At 49.4% G+C, this 24,435-nt stretch overlaps 1 protein-coding gene across 6 annotated transcripts in view, besides 4 other annotated features; it reads right to left on the bottom strand.

The window, feature by feature from the left end:
* The window catches only part of ADORA2B (adenosine A2b receptor), a 125,385-nt gene that overhangs the window by 21,416 nt on the left and 79,534 nt on the right, over positions 1-24,435 (bottom strand). For 3 of the 6 annotated variants that reach the window (XM_047435373.1, XM_047435374.1, XM_011523659.4), the window contains one exon: positions 13,904-14,306. In XM_047435373.1, the coding sequence (XP_047291329.1) occupies positions 13,904-13,929 (26 nt within the window). In that variant the 5' untranslated portion in view covers positions 13,930-14,306. Of the gene's footprint in view, positions 1-3,398; positions 4,354-8,747; positions 9,202-13,903; positions 14,307-24,435 lie in introns of those variants that run through there. The other 3 variants (NM_000676.4, XM_047435375.1, XM_011523661.3) reach the window with 2 other exon arrangements.
* Positions 2,695-3,492: an enhancer, noted in NCBI's record as "H3K4me1 hESC enhancer chr17:15854153-15854950 (GRCh37/hg19 assembly coordinates)". NCBI's record gives its function as "activates a minimal SCP1, AML or CMV promoter by ChIP-STARR-seq in naive H9 embryonic stem cells {active_cell/tissue: H9 hESC(naive)}" and the evidence as "EXISTENCE:reporter gene assay evidence [ECO:0000049][PMID:30033119]".
* Positions 8,384-9,198: an enhancer, noted in NCBI's record as "H3K27ac-H3K4me1 hESC enhancer chr17:15848447-15849261 (GRCh37/hg19 assembly coordinates)". NCBI's record gives its function as "activates a minimal SCP1, AML or CMV promoter by ChIP-STARR-seq in primed H9 embryonic stem cells {active_cell/tissue: H9 hESC(primed)}" and the evidence as "EXISTENCE:reporter gene assay evidence [ECO:0000049][PMID:30033119]".
* Positions 8,384-9,645: a biological region, named in NCBI's record as "H3K27ac-H3K4me1 hESC enhancer GRCh37_chr17:15848447-15849261".
* Positions 9,026-9,645: a silencer, noted in NCBI's record as "silent region_8212". NCBI's record gives its function as "represses an Ori minimal core promoter by ATAC-STARR-seq in GM12878 lymphoblastoid cells {active_cell/tissue: GM12878}" and the evidence as "EXISTENCE:reporter gene assay evidence [ECO:0000049][PMID:35858748]".

Here is a 24,435-nt window from a genome sequence, read left to right as displayed (position 1 = left end):
CATAATTTTGAGTAATGTCTGAGTAATGGATGGCATCTAAAAATAGGATCCTGGCCAGGCGCAGTGGGTCACACCTGTAATCCCAACACTTTGGGAGACCGAGGCAGGTGGATCACCTGAGGTCAGGAGTTCGAGACCAGCCTGGCCAATATGGTGAAACCCCGTCTCTACTAAAAATACAAAAGTTAGCCAGGCGTGGTGGCACGTGCCTGTAATCCCAGCTACTCGGGAGGCTGAGGCAGGAGAATTGCTTGAATCTGGGAATCGGAGGTTGCAGTGAGGTGAGATTGCACCACTGCACTCCAGCTTGGGCGACAGAGCGAGACTCTGTCTCAAAAAAAAAAAAATGTAAATGGTATAAACCTTAACAGCATAAAAGTCATGGTATAATGCAAATGTGTTCAATACACCATCTGTGCAGAGGAAGCCATGAGAAATAGTGGCTGCCTCTGACAGGCAAAGTAGGAAAGCAGAGATCCAAGACAGGGGACAACTCTACAGCTTCCCCCTGTGCAGTGTCAGCTTCTTTCCAGCAGCACGAGTTACCTTTCACAAGGAAGACTTCCTGAGAGGCAGCGCGCTCACAGTAACAGCGCGGCTCACAGAAACCAGGAGCAGACCTGGGAAAGGAATGGGGGACACGTTCTTCCTTGTTTTTCTTGACAGTCAGCAAATATAATCACCACTTGACAGAAACACAGGCCGAAATGTCCACAGGAAAAAAATCAAAACATAACAGAAATTCAAGTGGGGCATAGGGGAGAAGGCTGGCATGAGCCACGGGCCTGGCGGTTCACAGTGGGGAGTCAACAGATTCTGCTTCAAGATGGCAGCACAAAACCAGGGCTCAGCCCAGAGCGCCCCTCGGGGCAAATGCCAAGAGAAACAGGCTGGGGGCTGCCCCCGGCAGAGGGACTGGTGGGGGTCTCTTGCTTTCCCTTTTGGGCCTTTTTGTACTTTTGACTGTTTACTTCTATGCCCACTGGTTGATTTCTAACTCAAAAAAATAGAAGATAATAAATGCGACTCATTCATGGACTCACCAGCACCTTCAGGACAAAATCCAAAACCCTCAGCAAGCTCAAGGCCCTCCTCGAGCTGCCTGCTCCCTGGCCCGTCCCCCACCACAGCCCAAATCCCATGCCCACTCACGGGTGCGAAGCACCCAAGGTGCCAGGCCAGCTCAGGAGTCCCCCTGCTCCTGCGCACCCTGCACTCCCAGCTCTGCAGGCACTTTCCTCCCACCTACCACACCACTCAACCCTCCACCCTCCAGAAAAAGCCCTGCCCCTCAGCCTAGACTGAGTGGAAGCCTGCCCGCCCGTGCCTGGGACAGGCTGTTCTCCACTTTAATTCTGTCCAAGAAGATACATTTGCTATTTGCCATTGAGTTCCCGCTGCCCGTGGCGCTGTCTCCAGCTGGTTAGCCTCGGAGTCCAAGAGCCTATCGAGTTAATAATTTAGGAGAGAATAACCATGGCTAAAGCCTAATTCTGGAGTCACTAATAAATCTGAGGCAAAAGGAAAGGTTGGGCCTCAGTTCCCCAATCCGAGGAAGGTGCAGGTGGGAGGAGATCCACAAAGCCTCACAGCTGTCAGGCAAATGCTGTGAGATTCCATTCACATTGGCCAGGGCTTAGCTTCTTTCCTCACTCGTCCATTTGACAGGTTAGCTGGAGTCTTCTTTGTCCAGGTAATAATTAAAGGAATCTAATCACAATTTGCCAGTGTCCTTATTCATCCACCACTAGAAGGGACCCCTCATCAAGGGGGTGTTTGGGGGTGACCTCGGGGTGTGCAGTCCTTCCCTCCAGCTGCTCACATGATGGTTAAGGGCTCCTGGGAAGATAGGCTGCCTCAGTCCCGGCTTCCGTGTGACCCTGGGCTAAACATAATTTTCTGCACCTCCATCTTCTTATCTGTGAGGTGGTGAAGATAACTCCATCTGCTCCCATAGGGCGGTCGCAAAGATCAAAGGAGATTAGGGATGTAAGGTGCCTGGCACCCAGAAACGGCTTGGGAACAATGGCTGCCATTCACAAGACTGAAAATCTCTATGTCCAGAATAGCTGAGGACACTTCCCCATATCTGTCCCTGCAGTGTACACCCATGCTGTGATAATAAACTGACAAATGAGAAGAGTGAGATACAGGGATTGGGTCCTGCCCTGCACGTGGTCACCGAGAAAGGAGCCAGGTGATCTGTAGTGGGAAAATGTTGACTTTTTTTTCATTTACCCTCTTCTCCAGACAACCAAAGGCAGCCACTGTCCTTTTCAGAATTCAGTGGGAATGTCCACAGCATGAGGCCAGGCGGTGTTTCCCTGGCTGTGCTGCTCCAGGGCACCAGGCCACCTCCAGGCATGCAGAGCTGCTGCAGACTGTGCCTGGTCTGCAGAGGAGGCCTCTGCCCTCTGGGAGCAGCTCCAGGCTCCGGTCTCAGGGCAGGGCCCAGGGTGGCTTGAGCGGGCCCTCCTTCCCGGCCTCCTTCAGAGGGAACCTGTCCACAGCACCCCCACGCACACCAAGTCCACCTCCATCTCCCCTGCCCTCCAGTTCCCATGTGCTCCTGATGACCAGCCAGGTCAGGCTGACTCTACCCTCCCCGAAGGGAGAGGGCCTTCAGGTATCCTCTGGATTGAATTACCCCAGTTCTGACCTGGTTCCAAGACACATTTGAGGACCTCACTGACCAAATCAGACCTTGGCCCCTGCCTAGCCATGTGTGTGTCCTCTGGAATCAACATGCCAGGAACCAGCCCCTTATGTCAGCTGGAGGCCCCAGCAGGATTATAAACAGCACCTGCTGGTTTTAAGGTTGCTACATGGCCTGGGAAGTGGAGTTGGGAGGACTGTGTGCTAACAATGGAGGACAAATGACAGCAAAGTAACACTCAGGCTTGGGTGATGCCCTGATGCAGGTAACAGGGTGGCTCCTGGCCTGTGCATGGGACCAGGAGCCAGGGCCCATGGGCCACGTCCCGCGTGTCTGCAGCCCCTGGCCTCAGCCTGGGCCTCTGGCCCACAGCCCCTGCTGGCTGCCTGGCAGTCCCCGGACACCTCTGCACTCCTCTCCACCCTTTTGTCCCTTAGGCCCATGAGAGATGTTTTCAGAAGACGGTTTTCCTGTCTTCCGATCATTAGAACTTGTGGGGGCAGCTCCTCTTCTGGCGTTTCACAGAGCCCTTGGGCCCTCACTGTACACCTGCTGTCTCGGACCCTCCCTTCCCACCTGTCCAGCTGTTCCCCGGGCATGACGTAGCCTGACATGTGCCCTTTTCACCCAGTCACTCATGCATTCATCCACAATGTGCTTTCCTAGCCTGTGCCGGCATCGCGCTGCATCCTGGGGTGTAAGGCCCCTGCCCACAAGGCTAGCACACTGGGCGCAGAGAGACTCTGAGTAAGGACATGGTTTAATGGGATAACTAGAGATGGCGGTAAACCAATGCAGTGGCTGAGAAGCCTCTCCAGGTGGGTGAAGTGAGGAACGGGGGTGCAAAGACCATGGGTGGGAATATAACTTGGCCGTGGTGAGTGAGAATTGGGGGGTGAAGGCCGACCATGCACAGCCTCAGGCTAGGGTAGGGCATAGGGATTTCACTCTCTGTGTCTCTGCAGCGTGGTAAGCAGGGGAACGGTATGATGTGGCTTAGGTTTTAAGTCATCCCGTCTGGCTGCTGTGTGGAGTGGTTACAGGGGAGCAGGAGTCCAGCTGGGGGCCCACAGTGCCCACCAGGAGCTGCTGAGAGAACATGTTCAACGAGGTCCGGGAAGTGACTGCTCGATTCTGCCAAAAGAGGGATGGCGCATGGGTGACCTGACAGGAGAATTCAGTGGCATCCTGGTAACAAGTGGCAGAGTTTGCCAGGGGGGAGGCAAAGGAGTGGATGAGGAAGTGAAGGGGCGTTGATCTAGGGGTATATTCGTGTACTGATGGGTGGCTTCCTGGTGCTGCTCTGACAAAGCCCCACAAACCTAGTGGCTTAAAACAAGCAGGGCGAGAAGGCTGACTTCCAGGTGTGGGCCACGCTCCTGCCAGAGGTTCCAAAGGAGGATCTGTTGCCTCTTCCAGCTTCTGGTGGCCATCCTTCATTCCTTGGCTGTGGCCTCCACCTTCAAACGGCCTTCTCTGCAGATTTATCTTCTAAGAGTGCAAATGCATTAAGAGGCCGCCCAGATAATCCAAATAAGCTCCTTCTCTCAAGATCCACAGAAAGCAGTATTTGTGGGGTTTTGGTTGGTTGTTTTTTGTTTTGGCCATATAAGGGAATAGTCAGAGGTTCTGGGAATTAAAATATGGACATACGTTTTGCAGGGGGCCATCATCCAACCCATTACCATGGGAATGATCTGGAAGAGAAAGGTAACACTGATGCAGAAGGGTGAACCCAAGGAGGGAGCTCTTGGGAAAGCTGGAGGATACAACCCAGAGCCAGAAATCTTCCTGCCAAGCTTTTTTATTTTTTATTTTTTTTGAGACAGAGTTTCGCTATTGTCACCCAGGCTGGGGCTCACTGCAACCTCCACCTCCTGGGTTCAAGCAATTCTCCTGTCTCAGCCTCCCTAGTAACTGGGATTACAGGCGCGTGCCACCACGCCCGGCTAATTTTTGTATTTTTAGTAGAGACGGGGTTTCATCATGTTGGCCAGGCTGGTCTCGAACTCTGACCTCAGGTGATCCACCTGCCTCGGCCTCCCAAAATGCTGTGATTACGGGTGTGAGCCACCGTATCCAGCCCCTGCCAAGCTTTATTTCGAACATTACCAGTGAATTTTATGGGACGGGAATTATAGCTTAATTTTTTGTGTATGTGTGAGACACAGTCTCACTCTGTTGCCCAGGCTGGAGTGCAGCGGTGTGATCCTGGCTCACGGCAACCTCTGTCTCTTGGGTTCAAGCAATTCTCCTGCCTCAGCCTCCCGAGTAGCTGGGATTACAAGCGTGTACCACCACACCCAGCCAATTTTTGTATTTTTAGTAGAGACGGGATTTCGCCATGTTGGCCAGGCTGGTCTCAAACTCCTAGCCTCAACTGATCTATTCGCCTTGGCCTCCCAAAGCACTGGGATTACAGGCGTGAGCCACTGTGCCTGGACTATAGCTCAATTTTTTTTTTTTGAGGCAGAGTTTTGCTCTTGTTGCCCAAGGTGGAGTGCAATGGCGTGATCTTGGCTCACTGCAACCTCTGCCTCCCGGGTTCAAGCGATTCTCCTGCCTCAGCCTCTCAAGTAGCTGGGATTACAGGCACCCACCACCACACCCAGCTAATTTTTATATTTTCAGTAGAGACAGGGTTTCACCATGTTGGCCAAGCTGGTCTCGAGCTCCTGACCTCAGGTGATCCACCCTCTTCAGCCTCCCAAAGTGCTGGGATTACAGGCGTGAGCCACCGTGCCCGGCCCTATAGCTCAATTTTTTTAAGTTTTGAAAAACATTCAGAACCCCCCGCCAACTCCTACCCTAAGCACAAAGTCTTGCTAAGAGGTCTTTAATCCCTACCTCAAAGACCAGATACGTGAGGCACAGAGAAAAGCCTCAATGTGGCAAGAGCAGAGAGGGTGACTGGGCAGGGTCCAGGGACAGGTCAGATACACGGCACTGGACCCATTCGGCCAACTAAACCCTCCCGGATCCACCCTCTTTCAGCTCCACTAGGAAAACAGCTGGCCTCAGCCCTGCCAGAGACTCAATGCCACAGGGCCAGGGAAACTGGGTCTACAAGCAGCGAAGACCCCCACAGTGGGTGTGGCATGAAAGGAACAGGATTCAAGCAGGGAGGAGGAAGTGCTCCTGCCTGAGGGTGAAGTGAGAGCTGGGAGCAGCTTTGGGCATGGCCCACACCCTCCTGCCTGTACACGTCCACCTCCCCCAGCCCAGGAGCTACACGCCCACTCCCGTCGGCACCACTGGGGACTGGAGCCCCCCGCCGCCAGGGCCCAACATCAGGAATTGTCTATGGACTTGAACCAGAGGCAATGGACTTCTGTTTGTGGCCAGCCCTGTCCTGAAGGCAAAGGGCCAGGCCAAGGGCGTCATATTTGTCCCTGGCATTCCCTCCGGCTCCCCTCCCTTCTACACTGTCATCTGTCACATCAGTAAACACCTTGGCAATGCGGTGGCAGGTGGGGGCTGTGGTCTCTGCGGCCACAGGCCTCACACTTGGAGCCCTCGAACCGGGAGGAACTGGGGGTAGGTCCCAGGACTGTCCTAGCCTAAGCCTTTAGCCCTCACTCCCTGCACCTCACCCTCCTTATTGCTTGGCTTCAAAGGGGACACACCTCCTCCCAAACAGGGCACTTCCAACTTTACTCTCACCTGGAGTTCCACAACCCCAGGAAGGCCTCAGGGCCAAGTCAGTGCTTGGGGCGCCATGCACCCAGCCTGTGTCAGTCAAGTGAGGAAAGCTTCAGGCCCTGAATCTAGGAGGATTCTTAGATCGCTGGACCCAAATGTCCCTGGTTAAAGATCCCACTGCTGGAATCCCCTCGACACCCACTCCAGAGATTCTGATTCAGTACAACCAGGTGAGGCCCTGTAATCTGTATTTTAACCTCTTCCCAAGGGGCCATGAACTGCTAGGCCAGCTGAGGGAAGGCCTGCCCCAGGCACCAGCCCCTGAGAGGGAAGCCCTGGGGGCCCTAGTACACCTCTCCCACCCACCAGGGTTGGGGTGGTGCTGTGGCCAGGTCAGACGACTAACTCTGGGGCAGGGAGCTGGGGACTGCCTGTGCACCTCTTCCAGACCTCCAAGCTCTGGACGGGCCAGGAAGGCAGGATGGGGCGAGCCTCAGTGTTCTTCCCTCCTGCCCTTGGCAATGCAAAGAAGCTCAGGGCCTGTGATTCACAGCACTTTCCCCTTAACACACCCACACCCATTTTTTTCAAGACCTCACCCAGCACAAACCAGGACAAGAAGGAACAGATTTAAACTTTCATGGAACTTCCTGCTCCCTGTGGCCTGGGAGATTGTTCCACTAACTCCTCTCTGGGTCTCTGGTCTCTGCCAGGGCAAGTCCAAGGGGTTTCCATTAGATGGACAACTCAGGCTGGGGCTTGTGACTGCTCTGCTGGATGCAAAACATCCAAAATGCCATCAAGTAACAACGATGACACCAAAAGGCAGGGAAGGGATCCAGAAGAGAGAGAAGAAACTGCTGTCCTCCCTAAGCCTTGGAAATCCCTGGGCTGTCACACCTGATGGGAGACATAAGGCCTCCTGGTCCAACAGCACGGGCAGCAGCACATGGAGTGGCCAGACACCCACATAAGGCTCACAGCCCTCCCAAGCAGGAGGCTCCTGTTCCTGCTGGGACCCACGAAACAACCTGCAAGGACCAGGCCCAACACATCTGCCTACTCAAATGGCCTCTGGGAGCATTCTCCGGCTCCATTCCCACAAACACATTCCCCTACAACCACCAGTTTACTGCAGGCAGGCTCCTCCTCCCAAAACAGCAGAGCACTTTTCTCCCTGACTCCTAAACACGGTGCCACACATGGCCTTGCAGAGTGGCCTGATGGCATGGGTGGGGACACGGTGCCAGCTGTGAGTTCAAGCCCCGGCTCTGACACCCATCCCTGATACACCATCCTGGGCAAGACTCCAACCTCCCTGGGCCATCACCCCTCCTCTACGAGATGAAGGTTACAGCACCCGTCCTCTGGTACTACTGCAAGGACTGCTGGGGACACGTTTATTATAAACTGTCTGCACAGAGTTGGCACCCAATAAATGAATTCCTTCCCTTCCTTCCTACTCTGTGATTTAGTTTCCCTGTCTCAGCTCCAAATTTAAAGAGATCTCAAGCTCTCCTCAGAAATGCCAAAGTGGCCCAGGCACCAAAGACAGAGAATAAATACTTTCAACAAACTCTCAATGTTGAAGTCATCAGCTCCAACTGGGAATCCACTCTGGTCGCTGGCTGACTCCATCCCCTGAATCCTAGATTTTCTCAGTGTGGGAGAAAGAGTGGACAAGTAAGTTCGCCACCATTTTCTGCACTTCTCAGCCCGCTCCCAACAGGGCAGCAGGAGATAAATAGTTACACAAGGGCAGTGAGGCTGTAAGGCCGTTTGCCAGACACGAGGAAGCATTGTAACTCCTTTTAAAAGTATATAATCTGAGTCCGTAGCGTTCCCCAAAGTTAACGGACACCTTCCCCTGGGATGGGCCGGGCCGCCTCTCCGCAGCAGACACGTTCTGAAGCTGGCTCATGCGTGTCCATTCTGACGGTGCGAATGCCCAGCGTCCAAAGTTGCCTTGCCCTTAGTGGGAACCTCCCGGGCCTCCGGGAGCCGCAGCACTCACGGGACTGCCGCTGCACCGCCGCTGCGGGCGAGTGTTAGGAACGGCCTTCGTGGCAGGAGTGGAGATGTGATCACCAAAACTCCCGCGCCCCGGGCTCCACCCGCCCACGGGGGTGACGCTTTCCCCGGGGGTGACGCTTTCCCCGGGGTTTCCACGGCGCCTCCCCGGGCGCCGGGGACCGCACTCCCCGGACCCCCTAGAGCTGTCCCTACGCAGATCTCCTTAGAGCGACGCGCATCTGGGATGTCTTGGGTGCCCGGGCGCACTGGTCTAGCGTTGCGGGGTGGCCAGGCTGGGAACCAGCCCTCCAAGCGCCCCGCGCGCCCCCAGCCTGGCCCGTCTGGGGCCCCCGAGGGAGGAACCCCGGCCTGGAGAAGACGACCCATTTCGGAGCTCCGACGGGGCCCCGAGTTCGGGCGACGCCGAGCGCCTCACCTGAGCGGGACACAGATGGCCAGGTATCTGTCGACTGCCACGGCCAGAAGGCTGAAGATGGAGCTCTGCGTGAGCACCAGCACGAAGCAGGCGAGGAAGAGGCAGCCGTAGAAGTCAGTGCAGAAGCCCAGGCTGATGGTGATGGCAAAGGGGATGGCGAAGAGCCCCACGGCCACGTCGGCCGCAGCCAGGGACACCAGGAAGTAGTTGGTGGGCGTCTGCAGAGTGTTCGCCGTGCCCACCGCGGCGCACACCAGCACGTTGCCCGCCACCGAAAGCGCGGCGATGACCAGCTCCAGCGCCACGTACAGCGCGTCCTGTGTCTCCAGCAGCATGGCCGGGCCAGCTGGGCCCCGGGCGCCCCCTACCGAAGGCGCGCCGGGCGAGGGGCAGCCGCGTGAGACCCGCCGGGCATGGCCATAGCGCCCGGACCGCGCCTCCGCCTGCCGCTTCTGAGCCTCGGGGCTGGGGCGCTGGTGGCCGGGACCCACGGGTCGGGGCCCCCCGCGGCCAAGAGGCGGCACCCATTGGCCCGCGCGCCCGCCCGTCTCGGGCTGGGCGGAGCACCACCCACTCGCCCGAGCCCAAAGTTCGCGCCCGCGCGGGGCCCCTCCGGTCCAGGCGCCGTGCCGCGTCTTGGTGGCGGCGGATAACTAACAAATTGCCCCAACTTCCCGTCACGCTCGAGCTCGGAGGCTGTGTCCCAGTGCTCGCACTGCCTTCCAGTCCGGGCGACTCCTGGGATGGGGCCGGGCTCTGCCCGGGGCGCCAGCAGGTCCCAGGAGCCGCCGCGAGAGGACCCCCCAGGGCCGCGCAACCCCGGGCGGGGCGAGCTCACTCCAGGCTAACCCTGCGCACCCCGGGCAGGCCGACTGGATGGGGGGCTGCCGGGCAGGCAGGGAGCCGAGGCCGCAGTCCCCGCTCGTGCAGCAGTCTCGGGCAGCGCAGCACCACCGGAGCTGTCTCCAGGCTGCGGGGCCGGACTGCAAGGAGCCCTCGGGGGCTGCAGCCCCCTCCGGCCGCCTCCCAGCGAGGCTCAGCGCTGTTCTCCACCCTCGCCCGCGCCACTGCCCCTACGGCCCCGCTCTGCCTTCTACCTTAAGACAAGCTCGTGGCCGTCCCATCCTCGTCCACCGCCCGAAAATACCAGTGTTCCCCGGGCCCTCTTTTTTCTTTCCTTCACACTCACCCTGGATCGGCACAGGCTCCCGAGGCCTCCCACGTGGCCCTCACACCCTTAACTCCCAAATCTCTTGCTTCAGCCCTAACAGCCTCCTGAGGGCCAGATCCTAACACCCCACTGCCGACTCTCGCCAGGAGAGAGACTGGTGCCCCCAAATCCAACAAGACCAAAACCAAGCTCATCTCTAATTCTCCCCAAACCTGTGCTGCCGCCTTTTCCTGGGACCCTGTTCGTTATTGACCTGGCAACCCTCACCCACCCTAGGAAGTTTGCTGACACCCTGAGCCTTCGCCTTTCTCCACGTCCCAATGATCAGCAGTGCTGCTGGTTCTGCTTCCAGAGACTTGCTTCCTTTTACCCCCAAAGTCCTGCCCCGAGTCCCTCCTCACCACCTGCTTCTACCATCCCTCCCTCTCTGCCTGTGGGTCCTCAGCTTCTGCAGCCCTCACCAACACCATTGTTCTAGAGCACTCCTGGCCACGCTATTTCACCACCCGAAAGCCTTTGCTGACAGTCACCAAAGAGGATGGGTAAGGAGATTTTCCAGCAACAGGAAAAGATGCTTGTAAAATCATGTAAAGCAAAAATCAAAACATGGGGTGACTGCTAAAGGGTAAAGGATTTTGTAAAGGATTTTTTAGGGTGATAAAAATTTTCTCAATGTGGTGATGGTTGTACGGTTCTGTGGATATACCTCAATGCCACTGAACTGTACACTTGAAAGGCATGCATTGTGTGGCACATAAATTATATCTCAATGTAGCTGTAATGACGACAACATGGCTCACGCCTATAATCCCAAAACTTTGGGAGGCCAAGACAGGAGGAACATTTGAGGCCAGGAGTTCAAGACCAGCCTGGCCAATGTAGGGAGACCCCATCTCTAAACAAACAAATAAAAAATAAATCAGCCAGGCACGGTGGCAGGTGCCTGTAGTCCCAGCTACTTGGGAGGCTGAGGCAGGAGGATCCTTTGAGGCCAGGGGTTCGAGGCTGCAGTGAGCTGGGATCATGCCACTGCATTCCATCCAGGCTGGGCAAAAGAGGGAGACCCTGTCTCTAAAAAAAGACAAGAAGAAGAAAAACCCCTCTGCCCTCCACAGGCATAAACAGTCACATCTGCCCTTGCACCAACGAGGACAGCAAAATGTCAAAAACACACACAGTAGACCTCCTAGCTGGGTGGGATGATTACAGGGAATTTTTTTTTCTATTTCCCTTGAGGTTTTGTTACTTCCATAATGAAAACAGTTGATTTATATATCAAAATATTGGCAAGCCCACACATTCCGTGTCCTGGTCACGTGAGTTCTGGAATCACCTGCTCCACCAATCACGTTCCCACAGCAGTTGACACAAACTTCTGCTGCCACACAGAAGGCCAGAGAGATCAGGCAGCTCCTCCAATAGCACTTCCTTGGAGTGGCAGAGGGCAAAGGGTTAGAGGAGGCTTCCTGGGGTACTGGCTTTTACAGAGTGAGGGAGGCTTCACAGTGGGGTGGTTCCAGCTATACCAGGCAGAGGTGGTAGTTAGGAGTTTGCCCAGGGGTGCCATGCCCAGGAGAGTGAAGAGAAAAAGGCCTAGTGGAGAAGGCTCTGGCTGCCAGGCTGGAGAGCTGGGCCATCCTGCTGGGATGCCAGTCCGCAGAGGTCACAGGACGGGGCGGGGATGGTCAGAGCAATATCCAAAGGAGTGAGTGGAGATTTTGCAGAGGGAGAGGAGGCGAACGGTGTCTGGCTGGTTGCTATGAGTGGTTCCTGCACGCCCTGCAGCTGCTGGGCCTGGGCTCTGCTCTAGCATTTCCTGTGCCCAGAATCACCATTTCCCCTTTTCAGAGCCCAACCTCCATCAGGAAACCTTCCCTGAATCACCCAATGTATTAGGCCATTCTTACATTGCTATAGGGAAATATCTGAGACTGGGTAATTTACAAAGAAAAGAGGTTTATTTGGCTCACAGTTCTGCAGCCTGTAAACCATAGTGCCAGCATCTGCTTGGCTTCCAAGGGGCCTCAGGGAGCTTTACTAGTGGCAGAGGGTGAAGTGGGAGCAGGCATGTCACATGGGGAAAGCAGGAGCAAGAGGTGGGGGGAGGTGCCACACCTTTTTTAACAACCGGATCTAGTGAGAACTCACTCACTATCATGAGGACAGCACTAAAAAGGATGGCACTAAACCATTCATCAGAAACTGCTCCACTGCTTCCACTAGGCCCCACCTCCAACACTGGGGATTACATTTCAGCATGAGATTTGGGAGGACAGATTTCCAAACGATAGCACCCAAGTAGGAAGTCTCCAGCACAGGGCTGTGCCCTGTTCCCGTCTGTGTTGCAGTCCACTGAGTTTCAGGTCCCCGGTGTCCCTCACCAGCAAAGCTTTCCCTTCTCCGTCCTCTCCCCACCCCAGCCCCACCTGGTACCCTCTGACTCACACAACAACCCGCCCCTCTTCACAAAGTCTTTGTGAAATGAATCATACATTTTCCTGACTCCTTCAACCCCTGATCCACGCTAGGATTTGAGCTGGACTCACTGGGTCCATGGGGGTGCCAATTATTATTATTAAATATTATAATAATTATTATTAACAGGTTATTATTCAGGAAACACGAGGAGGAAGGGTGGAATCCGAAGAGAGTCATGGCATTTAGTCTTTTTTTTTTTTTTTTTTGAAACAAGAGTCTCACTCTGTCACTGAAGCTGTAGCACCATGGTGGGATCATAGCTTACTGCAGCCTCAACCTCCTGGGCTCAGGTGATCCTCCCACCCCAGCCTCCCAAGTGGCTAGGACTACAGGTGCACACCACCATGCCTGGTTAATTTGTAATGTTTTTGTAGAGACAGTGTCCCACTATGTTGCCCAGGCTGGTCTTGAACCCCTGGGCTCAAGCGATCCTCCCATCTCAGCCTCCCAAAGTGCCGGGATTACAAGTGTGAGCCACTACACCCAGCTGGTTTAGTCTTGAAAGCAATTGGTGTGCAGGGAGCAGAGCCCAGGTCTTAGCAACAGAGACTCCAGGTTTGATTCCCAGCTCTGCTGTTGATGTTGGACAAGTCAATTAATCTTTCTAAGCCCCTATTTCTTATGTATAAGATGGGATAACAATATCTACTTCACAGGGTCAGGCTAAAAAGGGGCAGGAGGAGCCATCTGCCATCTGACTACCTCTAGATCCTGACTCCTGGAAAACAACTGCAGTGATGAAAGCATCTGGTTAGGTTAGGACTAGAGCCCTAGAAACTCAAGTGGGACTTTCACTGGTGAAAGTGGAAGGGTATGCTTCCTGAACAAACTGACCCTCCGTGGACCTCTTCCAGACTGCTAGTACACATCGTCTCATCTCTCACCCCTCTCATCCTGCCTCAACTGCCAGAGCAGAATCCAGGTGACATACAGATGGTCCCAGAAATATCATGACAGGCCCAGGTTCTCTCTTTCTGCTCTGCCATCTTCAGTAGCTTTCCTCTTAGGCTTGTTGCCACATGGTTACAAAAAGGCTGCCACAGCTGCAAGCATTGCTTGCTCATGCAACCTCATTCAATGCAGAAGAGGGCTAGCCTCCCTACCGTTTATCATGAGGTGAAGTCGTGGATCACTTGCTACCCTACACCAACCATGAGCACAGGGAAATGGAATGATCATGCCTGGCTTTGACCAAATATGGTTTATTCCATGGGGAAGAGGAAGGGGCATACCTTTCCCAAATATGTTACCCTCCGAATAAACTTGGGGCTCTATAAAATAAAGAGGAAAAGAGTACAGTGCACATTGCCCCTCAGTGTCTGTGTGAGTGTCAGAGGGAAATTTTAAGTCTAACCTGAGAGCTCTAGGCCTCACTGGCTTGTACATAAAGATGGCACACATCAGGAGTCACAGCCTACATTTCAGAACAGCTGACTCTCTCCAGGCCTCAGCTCCCCACAAAATCCCTCAAGCACTTCTGGAAGTCAACAAGGGTTTCTTACTGTACCTCAACGTTCTACTTCTCTCCGACATCCAAGGACTTGTCACTGGTTCAAGCTTGGGACTGGCTCCGCTTTTCCTGAGGATGAGCCCAATCCCAGGAGGCTCCTCAGTCTCTGCTCAGTGAACGACTGTTGGGTAGGTCTTGCCAAGTCTTCAGAGGCAGCTCTGCACCCCAGAGATGGACACGACCAGACTCCTGCACCATTGCACACACAAATCGCATGTTCCCAACACTGACGGGCTTTAAGTTCTTGGACAAAAAGACTTTGCTTTCTATTTATTCTGTACTGTCTTTCCTAGGGTTCTTGAACAATGTTTGCAAAATAGTGAGCACTTAATACTGTTACCACATGTATTGTTTCAGAAGTAAAGTGGGTGCCAGGCAGTGCACTTCAATTTCCTCAAATCTGAAATGAGAAAGTTAAAATAAGGACCAAATTATATGATAAATATAGAAGCACATTAAAGAGTATTCATTCCATATATGTATGAAGTAATGTTACACATACATTCACTCTGCCCTCAGACATTCAGAGAAAATGTAACTTCTTTTTTTTTTTTTTTTTTTTTTTGAGACAGAGTCTCGCTCTGTTACCCAGGCTGGAGTGCAGTGGTGTGATCTTGGCTCACGCAAGCTCCGCCTCCTGGGTTCATGCCATTCTCCTGCCTCAGCCTCCCAAGTAGCTGGGACTACAGGCACCCGCCACCACACCCGGCTAATTTTTTTTTGTATTTTTAGTAGAGACAGGGTTTCATGTGTTAGCCAGGATGGTCTCAATCTCCTGACCTCATGATCTGCCCGCCTCAGCCTCCCAAAGTGCTGGGATTACAGGCGTGAGCCAGCACACCTGGCCATGTAACTTCTTTATGCTCTGCATTATCCTGAACTTCTTCAGCCTCCCCCAGTCAAACAGGCAGTGGAGACAACTTGGATTTTCCAATTCACATTTTTTGAGTCCAATTACCAGGATGGTGGTGAAGAGAAGCCCCAGAATGTCTGCTGTGCAGCAGTCCTGGTTAATCAGTTCAGAGTTGTGTGAAAAGACAGAAGGCTCCAGGAGGACTGTTTCCAAGAAGGAGTAGAAAGAAGCAGCCGGGCGCTGTGGCTCATGCCTGTGATCCCAGTACTTTGGGAGGCAGAGGAGGGAGGATCACAAGGTCAGGAGTTCAAGACCAGCCTGGCCTGTCAGAGTGAAACCCTGTCTCTACTAAAAATACAAAAAAATAGCTGGGCGTGGTGGCGGGCACCTGTAATCCCAGCTACTCAGGAGGCTGAGGCAGGAGGATCGCTTGAACTCGGGAGCTGGAGGTTGCAGTGAACCAAGATCCCACCGCTGCACTCCGGCCTGGGCAACGGTGAGAGACTCTGCCTCAAAAAAATAAATAATATAAATAAAGTAAGAGTAGAAAGAAGCAATTACTTGCTATGTTTGATGTTATGGAGAGATATTTGATATACATTCGGAGATCTTAGCAAATAGTGATCGTTACTAAGAAACTAAACAAATAAGGGAGGTAATTAGTAACTATACAAAAAAAAGAAAGTTGAAGACAGAAAATGCAATAACAGTACATATGTTTCAGTGTAAACCTAATTATACAGTCGAAATACTGTGAAGCAGATTGTTAACCAAGTGATACTGCCTGCTAAGCTCAAGAGCATGTTTAGAAATATGTAGGCATGTTTTTGGTTCCCACTGTTATATAACCATTACTGGCAATTAGTGGACAGAGACCAGAGATGCTAAATATCCTTTACAATGAAGAACTGTCCCACCAAAACGCCAATATTGCTCCTACTGGGAAACTCTGATATAAACACTGAATATGAGCCAGGTATGGTGGCTCATGCCTGTAATCCCAGCACTTTGGGAGGCCAAGGTGGGTGGATCCTGAAGTCAGGAGATAGAGACCATCCTGGCTAACATGATGAAACCTCGTCTCTACTACACATACAAAACATTAGCCGGGCGTGGTGGCGGGCGCCTGTAGTCCCAGCTACTCAGGAGGCTGAGGCAGCAGAATCACTTGAACTCGAGAGGCAGAGGTTGCAGTGAGCCGAGATTGCACCACTGCACTCCAGCCCAGGCGACAGAGTGGGACTCCATCTCAAAAACAAAAACAAAAACAAACAAAAAGAACACTGAATATTGATTTAATGAAAAAATTTGATAAATCTCTTTTCCTTCCTTCCTTCCTTTCCTTTCCTTCCTTCCTTTCTAACTTCCTTCCTTCCTTCCTTCTTTTTTTTCTCTCTCTTTTGACAAAGTCTCCCTCTGTTGCCAGGCAGAACTCCAGGGCTCATGTGATCCACTCACCTTGGCCTCCCAAAATTCTGGGACTACAGATATGATCCACTACAACCAGCATGATAAAACTGTCTTGAGGAAATGGAGGCGTGGAAAAGTGTGTGTGCTTAGGGGTGGATGAGGGAAAAGTTTAAACCGCAGTTGCCTGAAATGTCAATACCAGGCAGGACTAACAAGAAGCTGGTAAAAAATTAAAAAGAAAAACTAAAAAATGACATGTCCATAGGAGGCTTTGAAAAGCTCTTATTCAGGCCAGGCATGGTCGCTCACGCCTGTAATCCCAGCAATTTGGGAGCCCGAGGTGAGTGGATCACCTGAGATCAGGAGTTCGAGACCAGCCTGACCAACATGGTGAAACCCTGTCTCTACTAAAAATACAAAAATTAGCCAGGTGTGGTGGCACACGCCTGTAGTCCCAACTACTTGGGAGGCTGAGGCAGAATAATCGCTTGAACCTGGGAGGTAGAGGTTGCAGTGAGCCAAGATGGCGCCATTGCACTCCAGCCTGGGTAACAAGAGCGAAACTCCATTAAAAAAAAAAAGAAAAGAAAAGGAAAAAAGAAAAGCTCTTATTCCTGGGAATATGTAAGGCCTTGTGCATGTGCATAGGCCCAGGAAAGACATGAAAATGCCATAATCTGTCACCTTTGGCTGACTTTGGGGCTGTGCATAAGCAGGAAATAAAGGCTAAAGTAGAGTTGTCAATGGTGAAAGTGTACCCCAACACACACACTAAGTCCTTTTGCAAAGGCTGGGAGACTATAGATTCAAGGCATTTAAGGAAATTGCTATCCAATTATCAGCTGACCACTAAGCTAACTAGCCAGAGACTTTAGCTGCTGCATGTGACAAAAAATACAGACATCACAGAATTTGTCCAGGAAATTCACTAAACAAATGAACAGCAACAACAGCAACAAACAGTATCAACCACAAACCCTGGGGTGGCAGGATCCAATTTTCAGAGTTGCCACATTGTATTATTTTAAATGTTGTGCTTTCAACAAAATATTATAAGACATGCATATAAGAAGGAAAATATGGCCCACATACAGGAGAAAAAAGAAACAACAGAAACTGCTCCTAAGAAAGTCAGGATGTTAGGTTTACTAGGCAAAGATTTTATGTATGTATGTTTTATTTATTTTTATTTAATTAATTTTTTTAGAGATAGAGTCTCACTCTGTTGTCCAGGCTGGAGTGCAGTGGCACAATCATGATTCACTGCAGTCTCGAACTCCTGGGCTCCAGTGATCCTTTTGTCTTAGCCTCCTGAGTAGCTGGAACTACAGGCATGTGCCACCATGCTGGACAATTTTTTAATTTTTTTGTAGAGATGGGGTCTCATTTTGTTTTCCGGCCTGGTCTCAAACTCTTGGCTGCAAGCGATCCTTCTGCCTCCGGTGCCCAAAGTGCTGAAATTACAGGCATGAGCCACTGCGCCTGAGGCCTAGACAAAGATTTTAAATCAGCTATTTTAAACATGTTCAAAAAATTAAAAGGGGCCAGGTGCAGTGGCTCATGCCTGTAATCCCAGCACTCTGGGAGGCTGAGGTGGGTGGATCACCTGAGGTCAGGAGTTTGAGACCAGCCTAACCAACATGGTGAAATCCTGTCTTTACTAAAAAAATACAAAATTAGCTGAGGGTGGTGGCTCAGGCCTATAATCCCAGCTACTTGGGAGGCTGAGGCATGAGAAGTGCCTGAACCCAGGAGGCAGAGGTTGCAGTGAGACAAGATTGCACCACTGCACTCCAGCCTGGGTGACAAGAGAAAGACTCCATCAAAAAAAATAAAAATAAAAATAAATAAATAAATAAACAGGAATCTGTCTAAACAATTGAAAGAAAGATGTCTCACCAAATAGAGAATCTCAAAAAAAGAGATGGAAATGATGAAGAATCAAATAGATATTCTGGAGTTGAAAAGTACAATAACAGGCCAGGTGTGGTGGCTCATGCCTGTAATCCCATCACTTTGGTAAGCCAAGGGGCAAGAAGGGCAGGTCACTCAAGGTCAGGAGTTCGAGACCAGCCTGACCAACATGTTGAAACCCCGTCTCTACTAAAAACAAAACAAAACAAAACAATTAGCTGAGCATGGTGGCACGCTCCTGTAATTCCAGCTACTCAGGAGGCTGAGGTGGGAGGATCGCCTGAACCTGGGAGGTAGAGGTTGCAGTGAGCCAAAATGACGACACCACCCTCCAGCCTGGGCGACAGAGCGAGACTCGATCTCAAAAAAAAAAAAAAAAAAGTACAATAACAAATGAAAAATTTAATAGAAGGGCACAACAGCGAATTTGGACTTGCAAAAGTAAAAATTAGTGAACTTGAATGCACTGGTCAATTGAGATAATCCAATTTGAGGAACAGAAAGAAAAAAGATAAAAGAAAAATCAACAGTTTCAGAGACCTTGGAGATATCATTAAGTGTACCAATATACGCAAAATCAGAGTACTAGAAAGAGAGTGAGAGAGAAACAGAAAAATTTAAACATAATGGTCAAAAACTTCCCAAATTTGATGAAAAAAATAAGCATGTACATCGAAGAAACTCAGTGAACTCTAAGTGGAATAAAATCAAAGATATCTACACCTAGACACACTGCAGTCAAATTGTCAAAAGCTAAAGTCAAAGAGAATCTTCAGGGCATCAGGAGAAAGGTGACTTATTATGTACAAGGAACCCTCAATAAGATTAACATCTGACTTCTAATCAGAAGTCATGGAGACCATAAGAGCCATCTACTATGACATAGTAAAAGCTCTGAAAGAAAAAAACTGCCAACCAAAAATTCTCTATCTAGTAAAAATGTCCTTCAAAAAGGAAGCAGATATTAAGAGAGTAGATAAACAAAAATTCACTAAGAGATCTACAATAAATACTAAAGCTATTTATTCAGGCTGAAATGAAAGCACACTAGACAATAACTCAATATGCATGAAGAAATAAAGTACACCAGAAAAAGCTACTACAAAGACAACTATAAAAGAGAGTATGAAATGTAAATACAGGCCAGGCGCGGTGGCTCACACATGTAATCCCAACACTTTGGGAGGCCAGAGTGTGCGGATCGTTTGGGGTCAGGAGTTTGAGACCAGCCTGGCCAACATAGTGAAACTCTGTCTCTACCAAAAAATACAAAAATTAGGTGGCATGGTGGCATGCGCTTGTGGTCCCAGCTTATCAGGAGGCTGAGGCAGGAGAATCACTTGAACCCAGGAGGCAGAGGTTGCAGTGAGCCAAGACTGCACCACTGCACTCCACTTTGGGCAACAGGGCGAGACTCTGTCTCAAAATAGATAGATAAATAAATAAATTAATTAATACAAAAGACAGCATAAAACAATAATTAGAAATATGTGCTGATGGGCACACAGTGTATAAAGACATTACTTGTATGATGTTAATAGCCAAAAGGAGAGGAGGAAATGGAACAATATAGGAAGAAAGCTTTTTTATATCATTATATATTCTGACATTTTAACAAATAATTGACAAGAGAATTAAAAAGGTACACTAGATAATACCTATTTAACAAAAAAGAAGTCAACAATGGAGAAATAGAGGAACAAAAAGGATATAAGATATATAGAGGTCGGGCGCGGTGGCTCACGCCTGTAATCCCAACAGTTTGGGAGGCCAAGGTGGGCAGATCACAAGGTCAGGAGTTTGAGACCAGCCTGGCCAATATGGTGAAACTCTGTCTCTACTAAAAATACAAAAATTAGCCAGGCATAGTGGCATGCACCTGTAGTCCCAGCTACTTGGGAGGCTGAGGCAGAATTGCTTGAACTCAGGAGGCAGAGGCTGCAGTGAGCTGAGATTGTGCCACTGAACTGCAACCTGGGTGACAGAGCCAGACTCCATCTCAAAAAAATAAAAAAATAAATAAAATATATACTATGATCAGGTGGGATTTATCTCAGGAATGCTAAGTTGGTTTAATGAATAAGATTTAATTATGTAATACATGTTATTAATAGAATAAAGGAAAAATAACATGATCATCTCAATACACATAGAAAAAGTATTTGGCAAAATCTAACATCCTTTCATGATTTGAAAAAAATCAACAAAATAGAAATGGAAAGAAATATCTTCAACCTGATAAAGGACATCTATGAAAAACTCAAAGCTAATATAGCGTATTCAATGATAAAAGACTGCAAGCATTCCCTCTAAGATCAAGAATAAGACAAGGATTTTGCTCTCACTTCTATTCAGAATTGTATTGGGGGTTCTAGCCAGGGAAATAAAGCCAAAAGAAAAAATTAAAAAACAAATAAGAGGCATCCAGATTAGAAAGGAGAACTAAAACTCTCTCTCTATATATATATATATACACACACATATATGTATATTGCAAATGCCATAATCTTGTATATAGAAAACCCTAAGAGATCCACAAAACAAAAACAAAACCTTTTAGAACAAATAAATGCCCTTCAGCAGGGTTGCAGAATACAAGATCAGTATCTTGGACAAAATATAAAATTAATTGTATCTTTACTCAATAGCAATGAATAATCTTAAAATTAAGAAAACAACTTCATTTACATTAGCATCAAAAACAAAATTCTTAGGAATAAATTTAACCAAAGAAGCACAAGACTTTTACAAATAAAACTACAAAACATAATTGAAATAAATTTAAAAATACCCAAATAACTGGAAAGACAGTCCATAGTCCATATTCATGGATTGGAAGACAATATTATTAAGATGGCAATGCTACCGAAATTGATCTACATATTCAATGCAATCTCTCAAAATTTTGCAAAAATTGACAAGCTGATCCTAAAAATTATATGGAAATGCAGAGGACACAGAATAGCAAAAACAATCTTGAAAAAGAAAAACAAGGCCAGGCGCAGTGGCTCACGCCTGTAATCCCAACACTTTGGGAGGCTGAGGCGGGCGGATCACAAGGTCAGGAGATTGGGACCATCCCAGCTAACACGGTGAAACCCCATCTCCACTAAAGATATAAAAAATTAGTCGGGCGTGGTAGCGGGCGCTTGTAGTCCCAGCTACTCGGGATGCTGAGGCAGGAGAATGGTGTGAACCCGGGAGGCAGAGCTTGCAGTGAGCCGAGATGGTGCCACTGCACTCCAGCCTGGGTGAGAGTGCAAGACTCCGTCTCAAAAAAAAAAAAAAAAAAAAAATTGAAGGACTAACACCTCCTTTTTTTCCCTTTATTTTTATTTGTTATTTTTAGGTTTTTACCTTTAAATGAACGTTTCTTGATTTCAAAACTTATTACAAAACTATAGTAATCAACACAATGTGGTGCTGGCATAAGGGCAGACATATAGATTGATGAATTAGAACTGAGAATCCAGAAATAAATGCTTACATTTATGGTCAATTGATATTTGACAGGGATTCCATGACAATTTAATGGGAGAAAGAATAGCCTTTTTAACAAATGCTCCTGGGACAGCTGGGTATCCACATGCAAAAGAATTAAGTTGAACTACTACCTCAAGTCATATACAAAAATCAACTCAAAATGGATCAAACACCTAAATGTAAGAGCTAAAACTACAAAAATCTTAGAAGAAAACATAGGTGTAAATCTTCATTACCTTGGGCAACAATTTCTTTCTTTTTTTTTTTTTTTTTTGAGAGAGTCTTGCTCTGTCGCCCAGGCTGGAGTGCAGTGGCATGATCTTAGCTCACTGTAACCTCTGCCTCCCGGGTTCAAGGGATTCTCCTGCCTCAGCCTCCCCAGTAGCTGGGAATATAGGCATATGCCACCATACCCAGCTAATTTTTGTATTTTTAGTAGAGACGGGGTTTCACCATGTTGGCCAGGCTGGTCTCGAACTCCTGACTTAGTGATCCTCCCACCTCGGCCTCCCAAAGTGCTGCGATTACAGGCATGAGCCACCATGCCCGGCCAACAATTTCTTAACTATGACACCAAAAACCCAAGCAATCAGATAAAAAATTAGATACACTGAACTTCATCCAAGTTAAAAACTTTTGTACATCAAAGGGCACTATCAAGAGAATAAAAAGATAGTTCACAAAATGGGAGAAAATATTTGCAAATCATATATCTAATAAAAGTCTAGTGTCCAGGCCAGGTATGGTGGTTCACACCTGTAATCCCAGCACTTGGGAGGCTGAGGCGGGCGGATCACCTGAGGTCAGGAGTTTGAGAATAGCCTGACCAACATGGTTAAACCCCATCTCTACTAAAAATACAAAAATTAGTAGGGCATGGTAGCGAGTGCCTGTAATCCCAGCTACTCGGGAGGCTGAGGCACGAGAATGGCTTGAACCCGGGAGGCAGCAGTTGCAGTGAGCTGAGATCATGCCACTGCACTCCAGCCTGGGTAACAGTGAGACCCTATCTCAAAAAAAAAGAGAAAAAGACAAATAATCCAATTTTTAAAATGGGCAAAGGACTTGAACAGACACTTCTCCAAAGAAGATATACAAAAGCAAGTCACATAGCTTGTAACTTGATCCTGTGTAGAGAGGTGAAGTGGCTGAGGCTGCAGATGACTGGATGACCTTCCCAGAGCCACCACACATAGCTGGTTAAGTAGCAGAGCTGGATCTTAAGCCAGGTCTGTTTGCATTCCTGCTGCCCCTCTGGTGATGCCCACACCATGCCCATCCCAGGGCCAGATCTGCATGTGGATCCTTGCTAAGGAAAAGGACATGGAAGTCTTTCTTAGGCTATTTCTACCCAATGTTGATGTCCTTCAAAGATATCAGATCTCACTTCACACATGAGTGGGTGCTGGGGAGGACTGAAGGTTTCCAGCCTTCTGGAGTAAGATGAAGAGTTGCCTCAGGGTGACCTTGGATTTAGGCTCTTGGTAGAGGCCAGCATTGAAGCGCTAAGCTCCAAGGGGAAATTTCCAGGTGGAATAACATAGACATTACATCTGGACACCCTGCGTTTCTCTTTTCTTTCCTATCTGTGTGGCTCCTTTTAAATTTTTTGTAGAGATGGGGCCTTGCTGTGTTGCCCAGGCTGGTCTCAAACTCCTGGGCTCAAGCGATCCTCCTGTCTCAGCCTCCCAAAACACTGGGACTACAGGCATGAGCCACAGTGCCTGGCCAGCACTGCACCTCTATGGTGTGTTTTGATATGTGCAAGGTGCATCCGCCTTCGTTCTTATTCCAAATTTTCTTAGCTTCATCCTTCCCAGTGAATTTAGGCTTACTTGTCAAGTTCCAAACAAGTGCTGTCAGGCCAGCTGTGCTGAACAAACACTCAGGTGGATATTATGGATTTTAGCAGACACTGTTTTCTCTAAATGAAAAAATATGGACATTTTAATGATAGTTTTGAGATTTGGCACTTGAGACTGAGGTCAGGAAAATAACCATAATGCCCAGGGCCTGCTGTTTGTGAGCATTTCAGCTTTTTGCTGAGCCTGGGCTAAGCTAAGTGCCCATGGTGCTCTGCTCCACCCGATGCAAATCATCACCCTTGGAAATTCAAATGTCTCTGGGTAAGATCTGAATGTGGCAAATGAGTCAGTGAACGTTCTTCCTGGCCAGGCACGGTGGCTCACGTCTGTAATCCCAGAACTTTGTGAGGCCAAGGCACACAGATCGCTTGAGCTCAGGAGTTCAAGACCAGCTTGGCCAATACAGCGAAACCCTGTATCTAGGAAAAATACAAAAATTAGCCAGGTGAGGTGGTGCACACCTGTTGTCCCAGCTCCTCTGGAGACTAGGTAGGAGGATTGCTTGAGCCTGGGAGGCGGAGGCTGCAGTGAGCTGAGATCACGCCACTGCACTCCAGCCTGGGTGACAGAGTGAGACCCTGTCTCAAAATTAAAAAAGAAAAAAAAAAAAAAAGGAGACACATAAACCAATTGTAGTGTCTCACATTCAAATAAACCAACTCCAAAAAATATATAAAAATTTAAAAAGTTCTTCCTAAGAGGCTCAACAGGGTCGCCCCAGGATGCTCACTGTTTCTAATCACCACAGCCCCGATTCTTCCTCTGCCTTGCAGAGCCCCTGCAGGGTGTGGGGTCAGAGACACATTCTGGTCCAATGCTGCAGCCGTCTGTCAACTGTGTGGCCTCGAGGCAATAGGATAGCTTCAGTTTCCCCAATCTGACATTTTTTAACATCCTCTTAAACATTTTGGTGGCATTAACCAAAATGTACATTCACATTATTGTGCAGCCATCACCTCCATTCACCTCACCTTTCTCATCTTGCAAAACTTAAACTCTGTCCC

Source organism: Homo sapiens, chromosome 17 (genome assembly GCF_000001405.40).
Source record: "Homo sapiens chromosome 17, GRCh38.p14 Primary Assembly".
Classification (NCBI taxonomy): Eukaryota; Metazoa; Chordata; class Mammalia; order Primates; family Hominidae; genus Homo; species Homo sapiens.
This window is presented reverse-complemented; position numbering and strand designations above follow the sequence as displayed.